Source organism: Homo sapiens, chromosome 3, assembly GCF_000001405.40.
Source record: "Homo sapiens chromosome 3, GRCh38.p14 Primary Assembly".
NCBI lineage: Eukaryota > Metazoa > Chordata > Mammalia > Primates > Hominidae > Homo > Homo sapiens.
The window spans coordinates 64,088,887-64,103,241 of record NC_000003.12 but is presented as its reverse complement, the minus strand read 5'-3'; the positions used below and the strand labels follow the sequence as shown (position 1 = coordinate 64,103,241).

Here is a 14,355-nt window from a genome sequence, read left to right as displayed (position 1 = left end):
CTACCTACTAGACGCCAGGAGAATCCCATCCTAATAGTGACAACCAAAAATGTGTCCAGATGTTTCCAAATTTCCTTCAGAATTAAAAACCATCATATCAGATGAATATATTCTAATGTTAAAGAAACTTTTTATTTGGAAATAATTTCAGACTTAAAAAAAGTTATAAAAATAGAACAAACAACACCTGTAATGTACTCTTTACGTAGATTGATCCATTGTTAACCTTTTGCCACATTTGTTCTTTCATGTTCACATGCATGCACACACACGCACACACACACACATTTTATTTATAAACCATTTGAGAGCAAATTGCATCCATCTGGGCCATTTACCACCATATCCTTCCATATATATTTCCCAAGAGTAAAGATCTTCTCCCACATTATCACCATTATTAATTGACCACAGTAAATTTAGCATAATACTTTTATCTATTGCCCATGTTCCATTTTTTTTTCAGTTGACCAAAAGTTATCCTTTATAGAGGCAGTCCCCAACCTTTTTGGCACCAGGGACCGGTTTTATGGAAGATAATTTTTCCACAGACTGGGGCCAGGGGGTGGGGATGGCTTTGGGATGGTTCAAGTGCATTACATTTATTATGTACTTTATTTCTATTATTACTACATTGTAATATATACTGAAATAATTACACAACTCACTTTAAGGTAGAGTCAGTGGGAGACCTGAGCTTGTTTTCCTGCAACTAGACAGTCCCATCTAGGGGTAATGGGAGACAGTTATGGATCATCAGGCATGAGATTCTCGTAAGGAGCACACAACCTAGATCCTGCATGAGCAGTTCACAACAGGGTTTACACTCCTATGAGAGTCTAATGCTGCTGCTGATCTGTCAGGAGGCAGAGGTCAGGCAGTAGTTGGAGCAATGGGGAGTGGCTGTACATGCAGATGAAGCTTCCCTTACTGACCACTCACCTCCTTCTGTGTGGCCCTGCTCCTAACCAGTCTGTAGCCTGAGGTCTGGGAACCCCTACTTTATAGCATTTAGTTTCCCTAAAGAGCAGGTTCCAGTCCAGGATCAGGTATTATATGTAATTGCCATGTTTCCCTCGTACCCTTTCATCTAGAACATTCTCTCAGTCTTGTCTGGTCTTAAGACTACAGTCCCTTTTTTCATAACAAATGTCCCTCCTTTTGGCATCTGTCTAATGTTTCCTCCTGAATGCATTCGGGTAATACATTCTTGACTGGAATACTACATAAGGGATAGTGTGCCCTTCTGAGTACATCTCAACTGGAGGCATGCAGGGTGCAGTTGCATCTCACCAGGGATGTTAAGTTTGAACTTAAGGTCAAGGTGTTGTCTGATTTTACCTTTGTTTAGTTACTAATTCTTCCCTTGCAACTAATAAGCAATGTGTAGGGAAACACTTTAAAACAATGCTCTCCCCCATCAAATTTTACCCCCTAAATTTAGCACACTTTTTGATTCTTGTGTGAAGCACTCTACCTCCAATGGTTATAAAATGACTTTCCAAATCTGGCACCCCCTTCCTTCTTGTGAACTTACTCTACTGACAGCGGTTGGCATTCCACTATACATAGAGCCCTCTCTTTTCCCTGTTTGTGTATTTATTTATGTTTTTATTTATCTGCTATCAGCATGGACTTGTGAATTCCTATTTGTTTCAGTGGTTTATAAATCATTACTTCACTTAAATATTTGAGTGCTCAAATTGTTCAGATTTGGCCAGTGGGGGCCCCTTCAAGTTAGGCCCTGTGTCCTTCTGACAAACCCCTGCCATATCTTATTTTTAATACTTTCTCACTTTATGGCATAACAAGATCCTGGTTCTTTTAATTTCCTTGCCTTTATCCTGGAATTGGCCATCTTTCTAAAGAGCCTGGATTCCTTTTAGTGGGGAATGGTAGAAAAAACCACAATATATTTATCCATTTTCCTGATAATTGACATTTGAGTTGTTTCCGTTTCTGGGCTATTACAAGAAAGCTTCTCTGAGTACCCTTGTCCATTTCTTGGACCTTCTTACTAACTTCTGATGAATATATAATCAAGAGTGAAGATGGAGAATTGTGGAATTTCTACTCTTGGTCGTACACCCAACAGAAATTCATAAGTCCACAAAAAATGGCCAAGGATATTCAGAGCGGCTTTATTTATAATTCATATACGTATATGTGTATTTAGCTTTAGTAAATATTGCCAAGTAATTTTGCAAAGTGCTCGTAACACTGCTTTAGGTTTTGTCACGGAAGAGGAAGTTGGAGGCCCCAGTAGGAGACAGGAATAATCAGTAGCAGGGGTGATAATGGGCCATTGCAATCCAAAGGCATGTTGTCTATGACCAGGAATGGCAAATTGCTGATCCTTGCAATATGTAATGAGTGGAAAATGCTGAGACTTTGCCACCTGGCCCATTCTTAAACATCTCCTTAGAGAGCTCTGCCTGAAAATGAGCAAAATGGAAGTTACTGCAGTCAGTATCTCCCACTACCTTCAAAATGGTTTTCATCTCAGGGATGCCAAGAGCTCATTTGACAGCAGTTAAGAAATGGAGGTCCATTGCTGGGGCACCCACTGTTTGAGAGCATCAAACCCACTGCTTTACTTTTGAAAGTCCCTCCCCGTGCGACCGAGAGGTCCCTTGGGGTCCCACACACATCTTCTGGCTGCTAGAGACCCATTTACAACCTTGGAGCATTCACTGAATGGTCTGAGAGAGTAAATATTTCTCTATCTATATCTAGGGAGTCACTTAGTGTCCAAGACACTTTTGATAGGGAGCCACCTGCCACTTAGGGACAGCAGGCAAAGCAGGAAACTGCTGCGGGCTAACAGAGAAGTGAACTGGCCCAATATTGTGGAACCAGTGTTTGGTATTGCCAGAAACAGCTTGGGCATGATCCAGCCTCTAGAGCTTAAAGTTTGCTCATCCAAAATATCTGTCCTACAGAGCTTATAGTGCATGATTAGAATCAAAAATGTAATTAAAGTACTTTGCAAAGTGAAACTCCAAATAGAGGAAGCATCATACATAGGATACACAGTGGGCTCTTAGTAACTTTGATGAGCCTTTGGAGGAACTAGTAACTGGTAAAATACATCTCTGGAAGCATTTTAAGTAAGTGCCCCCTCTAGGTAGATAGTGACCTACTGTGGAGTGGAGAGAACCCCCTCACAGGCACATGTGCCCCCTGAGAGGGCCTTTGTGCAGTACACAACTTCACAACGGTATATAATGACCCTAGATAGATGACCAGCAGTGACAGTGATACCCATTGCTGCACATCTGTATTAATCTCTGTGGTCCCCTCCTCTCTTCCCCAGGCCTCTCTGCTGATGGTGGTGCCAAGCGCCAGGAGCACCTATCCCGATTTTCCATGCCTGACCTCAGCAAAGACTCTGGAATGAATGTGTCTGAGAAGCTGAGCAACATGGGCACTCTTAACTCGTCCATGCAGTTCCGGAGCGCAGAGTCAGTTCGCAGCCTGCTCTCTGCCCAGCAGTACCAGGAGATGGAGGGAAACCTCCACCAGCTCAGCAACCCCATTGGCTACAGAGACCTGCAGTCCCACGGAAGGATGCATCAGAGCTTTGATTTTGATGGAGGGATGGCGGGCAGCAAGCTGCCAGGGCAGGAGGGCGTGAGGATCCAGCCCATGAGTGAACGCACCCGGAGAAGAGCTACTTCACGCGACGACAACCGCCGTTTCCGACCTCACAGGTCCAGGCGTTCCCGACGCTCTCGCTCCGACAACGCCCTCCACCTGGCCAGCGAACGCGAGGCCATCTCCCGGTTAAAAGATAGGCCCCCTCTGAGAGCCAGGGAGGACTATGACCAATTTATGCGCCAGCGGAGCTTCCAGGAGAGCATGGGGCATGGGTCCCGGAGGGACCTGTACGGCCAGTGCCCTAGGACTGTGTCGGACCTGGCTTTGCAGAATGCCTTTGGGGACCGCTGGGGACCCTACTTCGCCGAGTATGATTGGTGTTCCACCTGCTCCTCCTCTTCAGAGTCTGACAACGAGGGCTATTTCCTAGGAGAACCCATCCCCCAGCCAGCGCGCCTGCGATACGTCACAAGCGATGAGCTGCTGCACAAATACAGCTCCTACGGCCTCCCCAAATCTTCCACATTAGGTGGCAGAGGACAGTTGCACAGCAGGAAAAGACAGAAGAGCAAAAACTGTATCATTTCTTAATATGATTGGGATCAGGGAATGGGAGAAGATGGGAGCTAAGAATGTAAAGTCAGAAACTTGCACTGTTTTAAATGTTAAAGCGCTTTTGGGGGTGGCTTATGGGGGAGAAAAGGGAAAATGCTGTCAGTAGATGGAGGCAAGGTTACAGGTTGACTCAATAGGTAGTCACAGTTCTTGGCATGTTGAATATTATTTGCACATTTCACTTTGGAAACACAGTAGACTCTATCGAGGCCAGGCTTGGTCACTTCCTTCCCATCAGTTCTGTGTTGAGTTGCCATCTCTCAAGATGGTAAATTGTTTCCTGCTCGCTTTTATCCTCTCTGGTTCTCTTACTTTTAGGACCCTTTTTTCAGTAAGTAATTTGTTTATTAGCCAGGACCCAAGACTAAGTTATTTACATGTCCATTGTAAATGCAATGTAAATGAGAGTTCTGATAAAATATTTTTGTATTTTGTAATATCAAAGGAATTTCTATATCGTAGGACTCAGTGGGGACTTGCATGCACATCCACCATTGTCTCTGAGTAGTATTGAAATGTGGCCCGGTACCACCTTTTTTTTTTTTTTTTTTTTTTCTATACAAATTTGTTACATGTCAGTGAGACCTTTTTCAAAGGAACATATTCAATTTGGCTTTTTGTGGCTGAAAAAACATAACTGTTAGACCCAAAGCATTTTATGCTCCGTTCCATCTTAAGGAGCCATCCTTAAGTCTGCTCCCACCCTCAGTAGAATTTATTTTCTACAAAGTGGTAGTAATTTTTTTTTAAATTGCAAATGTAATTTTTGCCAATTAGAGAAACCAACCGGTGTCAGTAAAATTCTGTGAGAAATGCCATCCCTGCTGGGAATGTTGAAGTTACTTAATGTTGATCTATCCCTTGGGGAAAGTAAAAGTGACTGTGAGTGGTGCCATTGTGTGATGTCAGCATGACGTTGTTTTGAATGTGGCATTATGTTCTGGTGCTCATGTTTCCTGGATTGTATTATCTGCTTTCCTTTACCAAGGCAGACAGAACTGCTGCCTTAGCCTGACAACCGGTTGTCCTCAAAGCAAATGAACTTAAGCATTTGGGATTGAGGGACAGAAGGATTCTGAGGGGGCTCTGCGAGGGACGGTGTGTGACATGTCATGCCTGGAGAAGGAACAAGGCTATTTGAAAACAGAAGGCAGGTCAAGGGTAGAAGTTAAAGGAGAATCTGAAGGCAGGTCAGGGAAAAGAAGAACTGGAAATGAAACAGAGGACAGGTGACAACCACCTCGAAGAGCTCCCAGAGATTGTAGAAAGAGTCCAGTGTAACCAGCTTAGTAACCAGAGTATCTGGATTACCCAGGAAGGTTGAGCTGCTGAGATTTCAGTGGTGCAATGTCTTTAAAAAAACAGGCTTTGTTGGGAGGGTATTTCCATTTTGAACTTTGAGGACTGTTGGTCAGAAAATGGGCTCAAAAGTGAGTTTGCTTAATGAAGACATTTAACGGTTGTGCTGTTTATAGTAAAATAAAACTCCCTACCTTGCTTCAGTTAAAAATGAAGCACTTGGTTTCTTCCATCCTCCTCCTCCCCTTAATGGATTGTGGCAGTTGAAATAATCCATCGGATGACCCACCTGTAGTGAGATGTACTGTCGATGTAGTGCCCGGTGTATCTCAGTGGCCATCTGCCATGGTGAGGTGAGCGTGATCTCTTTTCAGTATAGTAGTTAACATTTTCTAGTATTTTTTATGGAGAGAATGTCAAAAGTGGCATTTCAGACCCCGTCCCAGATGGGTCTGAGGAAAGGAAGGCTGTAAAGGACATGGTAATGGCACTCCATTCGGGATGTATTAAAATAATTTGCTTTTCAGGTATTAATATGACATTTGTCATTGTCACTGATTTTTTTAAAAAAGCAATGCACATGTTGGTTGTGGCTGTTTTCCGCATGCTATCTTCATATCTAAATGCTTCATTAATTATCCGAGCCTCCGGAGAATTAACTCTATTACGTTTGTATAGTAAGTTTGTAAACTGCTTGGCAAACTGATTAAGAAATAATTTGCAATACCGTGCTACTAAAGTGGCAGGTTTCTGGTAGAAATTGTGCGAGTCCAATTTGGAGTTTTAAGTTCCTTGATTGATGAAACTAAAAAGGCAATTTTGGAAAAAGAGAGGGGGAAAAGTAGATCACTTATCTTAGCAAACGGTTGAAAATATGTCTGTCCTCTGTGGCCCCAAATCCAGTGAAAGAAATTCTCCCAGTAAAAGTTGCTTCCTAACTCTGTTTTTCTCAGAATACCTCTTACCTTTCTCAAAGAAAGCTTCAACCACCATCATCAGAAAGAAGGTGGCCTAAAAACTGACACATGGCCAGTGCCCGGAGGGGTCTGGAGGCATAAGTCTAGATGCCCAGAGAGCATCCAGGCACTGAACTGCTCAGAGCTTGAGATGAAATGACATACAAGCTTCAGGGTAAAACTGTCTACTAGCAAGATTACCTCCCTCAATTCTACCATTGCAGATTTCTTCTGACCCCAAATGCAACCTTACAGAGAATGCTGAATGAGGAAGGCCAATTCCTTACAATGATGGCAGAACCCCCAAGCGAATGCCCTATTGAGGAGAAGGACATCACTGTATTTGGAATTCTGCCTGCTAGTGATAGCTCACACATCACATCCCAGAATCCCACTCCCAATGCATTATTTCCTGAGGCAAGAACTTAAGGTCCTCACCTAATTCCTCCATCACAACCATTAACTCTTATTGGACAAGCTCCTCCTGTGAGTAGGGCCTGTACTCACTTCCTCTTAGATCATAATTCCATCTTCAAGAGACTGATTTCCAGAATAGTAATCTTTTTCCAGCGTTCTCTCTTCTCCAATGCCCTGGTTGTTATTTTTCCCACCTCTCCTAATATTGATCTTCTTGTCTTTTGGTTAGAACTGCAACTTCGGAGTTGAGTTCATTTCCTATTGCTGCTCAATTCAGTAGCAACATAGCTGGCTTGTTCCCAGACCCAGGAAGTATAAGTCATTGACAGTTTCCTGAGTGGCTCTGCCAATCCATACCACCCTTGGTACTGTGAAAAGGCTTCTTGGCAGCCAGGTGGCATTGAGGATGGTATTCAGGGCGCTTTCCTTCTGTCATATAGTTGTGGGATCTCTACCAAGTGTGAAGGTGAATGAGGTAAGGGAGATCAGAACCATGCTTCCTGGTTTTTCATACATCCAAGGAAGAAGTCCTGGTGTGGGTTGTTTGACACCTTCTTTCCACTTTCACCTTTTATTTTTTATTCCTTCCTTTCTACCCCCAACCAGTCGAGCAAATGAGCAATTTTGTGTTTCTAATACAGGATCTGGAAGTAGTGCTTTCTAATCCTCATTTCCTGTAGGATGTTCCTGCACTATAACAAGATTATGTTTTCTTCCTTCTGCAGCAGCTTTCTGCTTCTTGGGTACTACTAGCTATTGTTCAATTCAGGTGAGGCCTGTGATGACATATATGTAGCATGTGCTCTGCGCTCCCTGCAAGCTGAGCAGATACAACCAATGCATCACTGTATACTCTTGCTGAGAATGTGGATGCAGCCTCACAGATCTTTGCAACACTCCAACCAGCCAGGACCAGTTGATCAGAACTGATCTTATTGGTCTGATAACCAATCTTATTTGTGAACTGATTCATATCTGTCTTTCCACTCTTGGTTCTCTTGCCGTAGAACAAAAACAGTTTAGGAAGCATAATTACGAACATTTAGGAACCAATATGTATAAGTAATTCGGAGACTCCAATTCACCTGCCCCTCCCCCATCCCAGGTTGTGGAGGCTCGAGGAAGCTGACTTCTTAGGCTAAAGGACAAAAAAATCTCTTTACCTCCTTGGCCATTTTCATGTTCTCTGCCAATTACTATAGGCAGTCTTCATTTTGCAGAGGTGAGGTAAGACTTCATCTTATTCTTCATGTAATCCCACCTTCTAACAAAAAATAAATAAATATTTAAATTCCAAGGAGAAGTGTTCTTTGTGTATTTCTAGCAGAAAACAGATGCTTAAGCCTAAGAAGGAAGATCCGTCCATGACAAAGGAAAGTGGAAAACTGAACCAGTTATCTGAATACTTCATGCCAGGACAGTTGCTATTAGCAACTGTTTTGCACCTTCAGGGCTTTAAAATGGGCTCTGCAGACAGCATTTGCATATGCAAGACTCAGTAGCCAAGCCTCCACTGCCAATTGTTGAAGGCAGTTTCAGATCGCCACCTTTTGAGGTACATTTCTTTAAGCACAAGAGAAGTAGAAATGGCCTTTGCCTTGTCTCCAGTGGTTTGTCCCTCTGGTGCCTCAGCAGATACCAGAGCTTATTCTTATGACCATTTGGAAGTAGTCCTCAAAGTAAAGATCAAGAAAAAATTGGATTCTTTTTCCATTTTCTCATAATAGTAGCCTAGTCAACACAAGACTCCCATAAAATATGACTCACTATTGGGAGCCATACTATTTTATAAGCTTACTTCCTGCTGACAAAACTAGCTTTCCTCAAGGAAATATAAAGGAGGGGAAAGTCACATAGTGTTAGGAAAACATTCCTGTGTTTTGAATACGATGAATCCATAGGATAGAGAAAAATCTGCTTGTTCTATTCTGAGAGTTCTCTGAGATATCCCTTCACTCTGCTTGGCATTTGGCCATTGATATTCAACAGGTCACTGACCAAGCTTTTCTAAATTTTTCAGAGAGAGTTACTTACCAGTAAGGTCTGTTCTTAAACCTACCTAGTTGATTTTCATATCTTTCCATAAAGTGTCATGATTCTGTCATAGACCCTGACTTAACATTGTAAGGACTATGAGTCCTCCATTTTTTAATTAATTTTTTTTTAGCAAATTAGGACTTCGGCAGGTTTTCCTCTCCTAAACTCATTCTTTCCTCCACAGGATTGCTTTGTCCATCTCCTGCTTTCATTTCAAGTGCATAAACAAAACCTCAAAGGGCCTGGGAAGGTGAGGCAGGCCAGAGTCTGTGTTCTGTGTTGAGTGTCAAGCTATTTGTTAAGAAGGTCTGCAACAGGCCTTTGGTGTGGGCTCTGCCAGAGACTGTTCTGAACACTTTGCTTGAGATCCGTGCCCTGTAAAATGGATATGATGTTTTACTGATGTCTGTAATACATTTGTAAACTTCCAATAAAATTTGAATAAAAGAAATGTTGCCATTCTTCTCAGCCCTCCCTCACTTTCCAGATTTTAGGGGTGGTCTCTGCCTTTGAGCATTTCAACAAAGAAAAGAAAGGACACAGGTATGGAGGGATGAGTTTTACTATGAAATATTAACCTGATTGTTTAAATCAGGGTTTCTAAGCCTCAGCAATATTGACGTCTTGTGCTAGTTAATTCTCGGTTGCAGAGGGCTGTCCTGTGCATTGTAGGATGTTTAGCAACATCGCTGACTTCTACTCACTAGATGCCAGTAGCAGCCCCCAGAAACTGTGACAACTAAAAATGTCTCCCATCACAACCATTAGGATGGCAGTTATTAAAAATAACAACAAATGTGGGTGAGGATGTGGAGCAATTGGAACACTTGTACACTGTTGGTGGGAATGTAAAATGATGTAGTGCTGTGGAAAACAGTATGGCAGTTCCTCAAAAAAAATTAAAAATAGAATTACTACCATATGCTACTTCTGGGCTATACCCAAAAGAATTGACAGCAGGGTCTCCAAAGAGATACTTGTACACCCATATTCATAAAAGCAGCATTCACAATATCCAAAAAGTGGGAGCAACCCAAATGTCCACTGATGGATGAATGTGTAAACAAGGTGTGGTGTATACATACAATGGAATATTATTCAGCCTTAAAACGGAAGGAAATTCTGACACATGCTACAACATGGATGAACCTTGAGGACATTTTGCTAAGTGAGATAAGCCAGTCACAAAAAGACAAGTGTATGATTCCATTTATCTGAGGCACCTAGAGTCAAATTCATAGAGACAGAATGTAGAAGAGTGGTTGGTTGTCAGGGACTGAAGGGAGGAGGGAATGGGGAGTTACTATTTAATGGGTATAGAGTTTCATTATGGCAAGATGAAAAGAGTTCTGGAGACGGGTTGCAGAACAATGCAGATGAACTTAATACTACTGAACTGTACACTTAAAAGTGGTTAAGATGGTAAATTTTATATTATGTTTATTTAACCACAATTAAAAATGTCTCCACACATTGTCAATGTCTCCCTGTTGAGAACCACTGGTTTCAATGCATTGCCTTCTTAGTGTCTTTGTTCCTTGAGAATTCTTGAAACTGATTCCTACCCAGGCCACACAGTTAATTTTCAGTTATTAGCAAGAATTGAAAGCAGCAGATGACCCAAAAATATTTGTGTTTGCTTTTAAGCAAATAATAAGTGGTCTGTCTGGAGAATTACATCCATGTCTGTGTTCTGGTTAGGGCAGCATTAACACTGACTGGGAGCCAGGACCAAGGCAGCATGTAAATTCAATTTCCCCGTGTCTGATCCACAACATTAGGGACTTGCTGGATGCTATAATATCATCTATTCATTCATTCAACAAATATTTATCAAAAGGCTTTCTCTAGCCAGGAACCGTTCTAGGTGCTTGGAATACAATAATGTGCAAAACAAACAAAAATCCCTACCTTAAAGGAGTTTACAAACTTTACTTTCAACTAGGCAAGACATTCGGAATAGTAAGTAGTCTTACCCACCCTAGCTAATCACAAGGACTTGGGAGTGGCAGACAACAAGAGTTGTTTCATTGTAAGACATTCTAAGAGCTTTTGAATAAAAACTTGAACTGGAAATGGCAATTGTGCCTGTTCTGCTTACAGACATGCCATAGAGCATGGCCTGCAGGCAACCATGGTTTTTAATATACAGCCTCCCTGTTTCCCCTCTTCAGCCAAAATGATTGTAGTCAGGTATAGCACCCTACCAGCAATCTTATAAGCATGATAAGCTGGACTTATCAGATTCGCTCTCTCAAGAATACAGGCTGGGCACAGTGGTTCATGTCTATAATCCCAGCACTTTGGGAGGCTGAGGTGGGAGGATCACTTGAGGCCAGGAGTTCAAGACCAGCCTGAGCAACATAGCAAGACCCGCCCCCGCCCCCATCGCCTCCGTCTCTATGGAAAAAGAACAAAAACAAAAACCAGTAGCTGGCATAATGGTGCAAACCTGTAGTCCCAGGTACTGAGGAGGCTGAAGCAGGAAGATAACTTGAGGCCGCAATGACTTATGACTGTGCCACTGCACTCCAGTTTGGGTGACACAGTAAGAGACTTTGTCTCTAATAAGATTAAATAAGATTATAAACCAAGAAATTCTGAGAGAATGAGGCAGCTGGCAGTGGGAGTGGAAGCTAAGAGAATGTATGGGGAGGAACCAGGAGGTGGAGTCCAGCACAGGAGCAACAAGGTAAGAGGAAGGATGAGGAAGCAGATGCAACAAATAAGCAAAAGTCTAGGCTGAGAGCAGATCTAAGAGCAAAGACAAGAGATCAGAATGGACCCAGAGGAGCTGGTCCTCAGGACTTCCTCACCTCCAAACAGATCCTAGTTCCTGCCCTGGAGGTACCCCTCTAGGGTTACCATTTGATTTTGGTCCTTCACATACCCCTCCCCACTGTGCCTATGTATTGTGACAATACATACCTATGTAACCTCTTTGGGCTCAAGAGTTCCTTGCAATCCCAATTAAAACATATGAAGGATCCCATATGCACTAAATGCCAGTTGTGCACCTTTTATTTTGGCCCCATGTTCCTTTAACATTTTAAATGTCATCTCAGCCACTTGCTACTTGTTGATCTTGGGAAATGTCCATATCCTCTTTGAGCCTCAGTTCTTAATCTATTAAATGAGATAATAACAGAAGAGTCATTATTGGGTTATTGTGTGGATGTACTGGAATAATACGTGTAAAGCTCTTAGTGCTACCTGTCATTATAAAAGCTCAGGCCGGGCGCGGTGGCTCACGCCTGTAATCCCAGCACTTTGGGAGGCCGAGGCGGGCGGATCACGAGGTCAGGAGATCGAGACCATCCTGGCTAACACGGTGAAACCCCGTCTCTAATAAAAATACAAAAAATTAGCCGGGCGTGGTGGCGGGCGCCTGTAGTCCCAGCTACTCGGGAGGCTGAGGCAGGAGAATGGCGTGAACCCGGGAGGCGGAGCTTGCAGTGAGCCGAGATGGTGCCACTGCACTCCAGCCTGGGCAGCAGAACGAGACTCCGTCTCAAGAAGAAAAAAAAAAAAAAAAAAAAAAAAAAAAAAAAAAAAGCTCAACACACATTAGCTATTGTTATTACTATCATTAGTATTTCTAGTCTACCCAAAGAGAGATGCTGGCAAGAACTAGACACCAGTGGTATCTAATCTAATAATGCTCTTATCTTTTTTTATTATACGCGTTAAATAGGATTTAAAGACATTCAAGGAAGGTCTGAATCTTCACTACGTGTAAAAAATGCCCACTGAACTTACTGAAAACTCCTCATCCTCCTGAAAGACGTTCTGGTTCAGTGGATCTGAGGTAGAGCCCCAGAATCTGCTTTTATAACAGTGCCCTTTATATCTTTATGATCTAGGTGGTTTGAGAATCACAGCTCAAGAAATTCTGCCTTGGCATTTCTTGTTTTCTTCCAAGTCTCTGAAACAAATACACACATGATGCAGTATTTTTGCTCCATAGCTTAGGCCTGGGTTCTTGTCTCACCACCAGGAAGGATTGGGCACGCACACACTCGAAGAGTGAGTTAGGCGAGAAGTTTGATTGAGTGCTGCAATAGCTCTTGGTGGGGAGGGGATGCAGGGGTGGTCCCCCTACCTGAAGGCAGGAGAGTTCCCAATATCACTGAGCCATATCTAGTCTAAGAATGCTCTTATCTTTTTTTAATGTAAGCATTAGATAGGATTTAGAGACATTGGAGGAAGGCCTGAATCTTTACTAAGTGTAAAAAATGCCCACAGAACTTAATGAAAACTCCTTGTCCTCCTCAAAGAGGTTCTGGTTCAGTGGATCTGAGGTTTTTTATGGGCTCAGAATAAGGAGTGCATCCTGATTGGTTTGTGAGTAGGCAAAAAAGGTTAAAGCAAAGACATCACTCAAAGGTGGGCATGATAGTGTAGAAAACCAATTAGGAAAGGGTAGGTATATGTAAAATAGGTGAAGGGTGGGGAACAATCAGAGGAAAGCGGCCAGGCACAGTGGCTCACGCCTATAATCCTAGCACTTCAGGAGGCTGAGGCAGGCAGATCACCTGAGGTCAGGAGTTTGAGACCAGCCTGGCCAACATGGCAAAACCTCATCTCTACTAAAAATACAAAAATTAGCCAGGTATGATGGCACATCCCTGTAATCCCAGCTACTTGGGAGGCTGAGACAAGAGCCTGAGACAACCCAGGAGGCGGAGCTTGCAGTGAGCTGAGATTGCACCACTGCACTCCAACCTGGGTGACAGAGCAAGATTCCTTCTCACAAAAAAAAAAAAAAAAAAAAAAAAAAAAAATCAGGGGAAAATGTGCCAAGTTCGAAGGCAGTTTCTCAATCCAGTTTGAGGATTTACCCAGGACTATTTCCGGCTTGAAAGTGGGGTTTTGCTGGAGACCCACCCTTATCTGCCTAGACATTTGTCTGCCTCCTGCCCCTATCGCAAATAAACAAACAAAAACACATCCCCTAGTCCCTGATGCTTCAAGAGAACTTAACAAGCTTATTAGTTTGAATAAAGAAACTTGAGCCAGTGACTTCCATTCCAATTCTGGAGGATCTGGAGTGGGTTCACTTTTTTTCAGGAGTGGCAGTCATCAAAAAAGGAACAAACTTCAATTGGCTTTAATTTTTATGATAGAAGTATACCACTGCTGCACTGAAGAAGAGAGTGAGCTTATTGTAAAACACAGTCTAACAATTATGTTTGGATTGGAGAATTGCTACTTGGGCTCATAGCCAATGGTTTTCACACATCAAAATTAACTGGGTAGATTATGTACAATTCAGGATCCCCAGCCCCATCCCTAGAGAGTCTGATTCAGCAGGGCCCTGGGTCATCACATTTTTCATAAACATTTGGAGATCTAGGGCCACCCCTCTCACCATGGGAAAGTCTTTATTTTCTGTGAGTCCTTGTATGCTAAGGGCTCAGTCCTGTTTGTG

At 42.7% G+C, this 14,355-nt stretch overlaps 1 protein-coding gene and 1 long non-coding RNA gene across 3 annotated transcripts in view; one reads left to right on the top strand and one right to left on the bottom strand.

Moving 5' to 3' along the window:
- The window catches only part of PRICKLE2 (prickle planar cell polarity protein 2), a 175,938-nt gene extending 164,932 nt beyond the window's left edge, over nt 1–11,006 (top strand). For both annotated transcript variants that reach the window (NM_001370528.1, NM_198859.4), the window contains exon 8: nt 3,317–11,006. In NM_001370528.1, coding sequence (NP_001357457.1) covers nt 3,317–4,191 — 875 coding nt within the window. In that variant the 3' untranslated portion in view covers nt 4,192–11,006. The remainder of the gene's footprint in view (nt 1–3,316) is intronic.
- The window catches only part of PRICKLE2-AS1 (PRICKLE2 antisense RNA 1), a 35,168-nt gene continuing 20,923 nt past the window's right edge, over nt 111–14,355 (bottom strand). The window contains exons 2-3 of the long non-coding RNA NR_045697.1: nt 8,051–8,148; nt 111–6,319 (exon numbers count right to left, since the gene is read on the bottom strand). This is a non-coding gene — a long non-coding RNA (PRICKLE2 antisense RNA 1). The remainder of the gene's footprint in view (nt 6,320–8,050; nt 8,149–14,355) is intronic.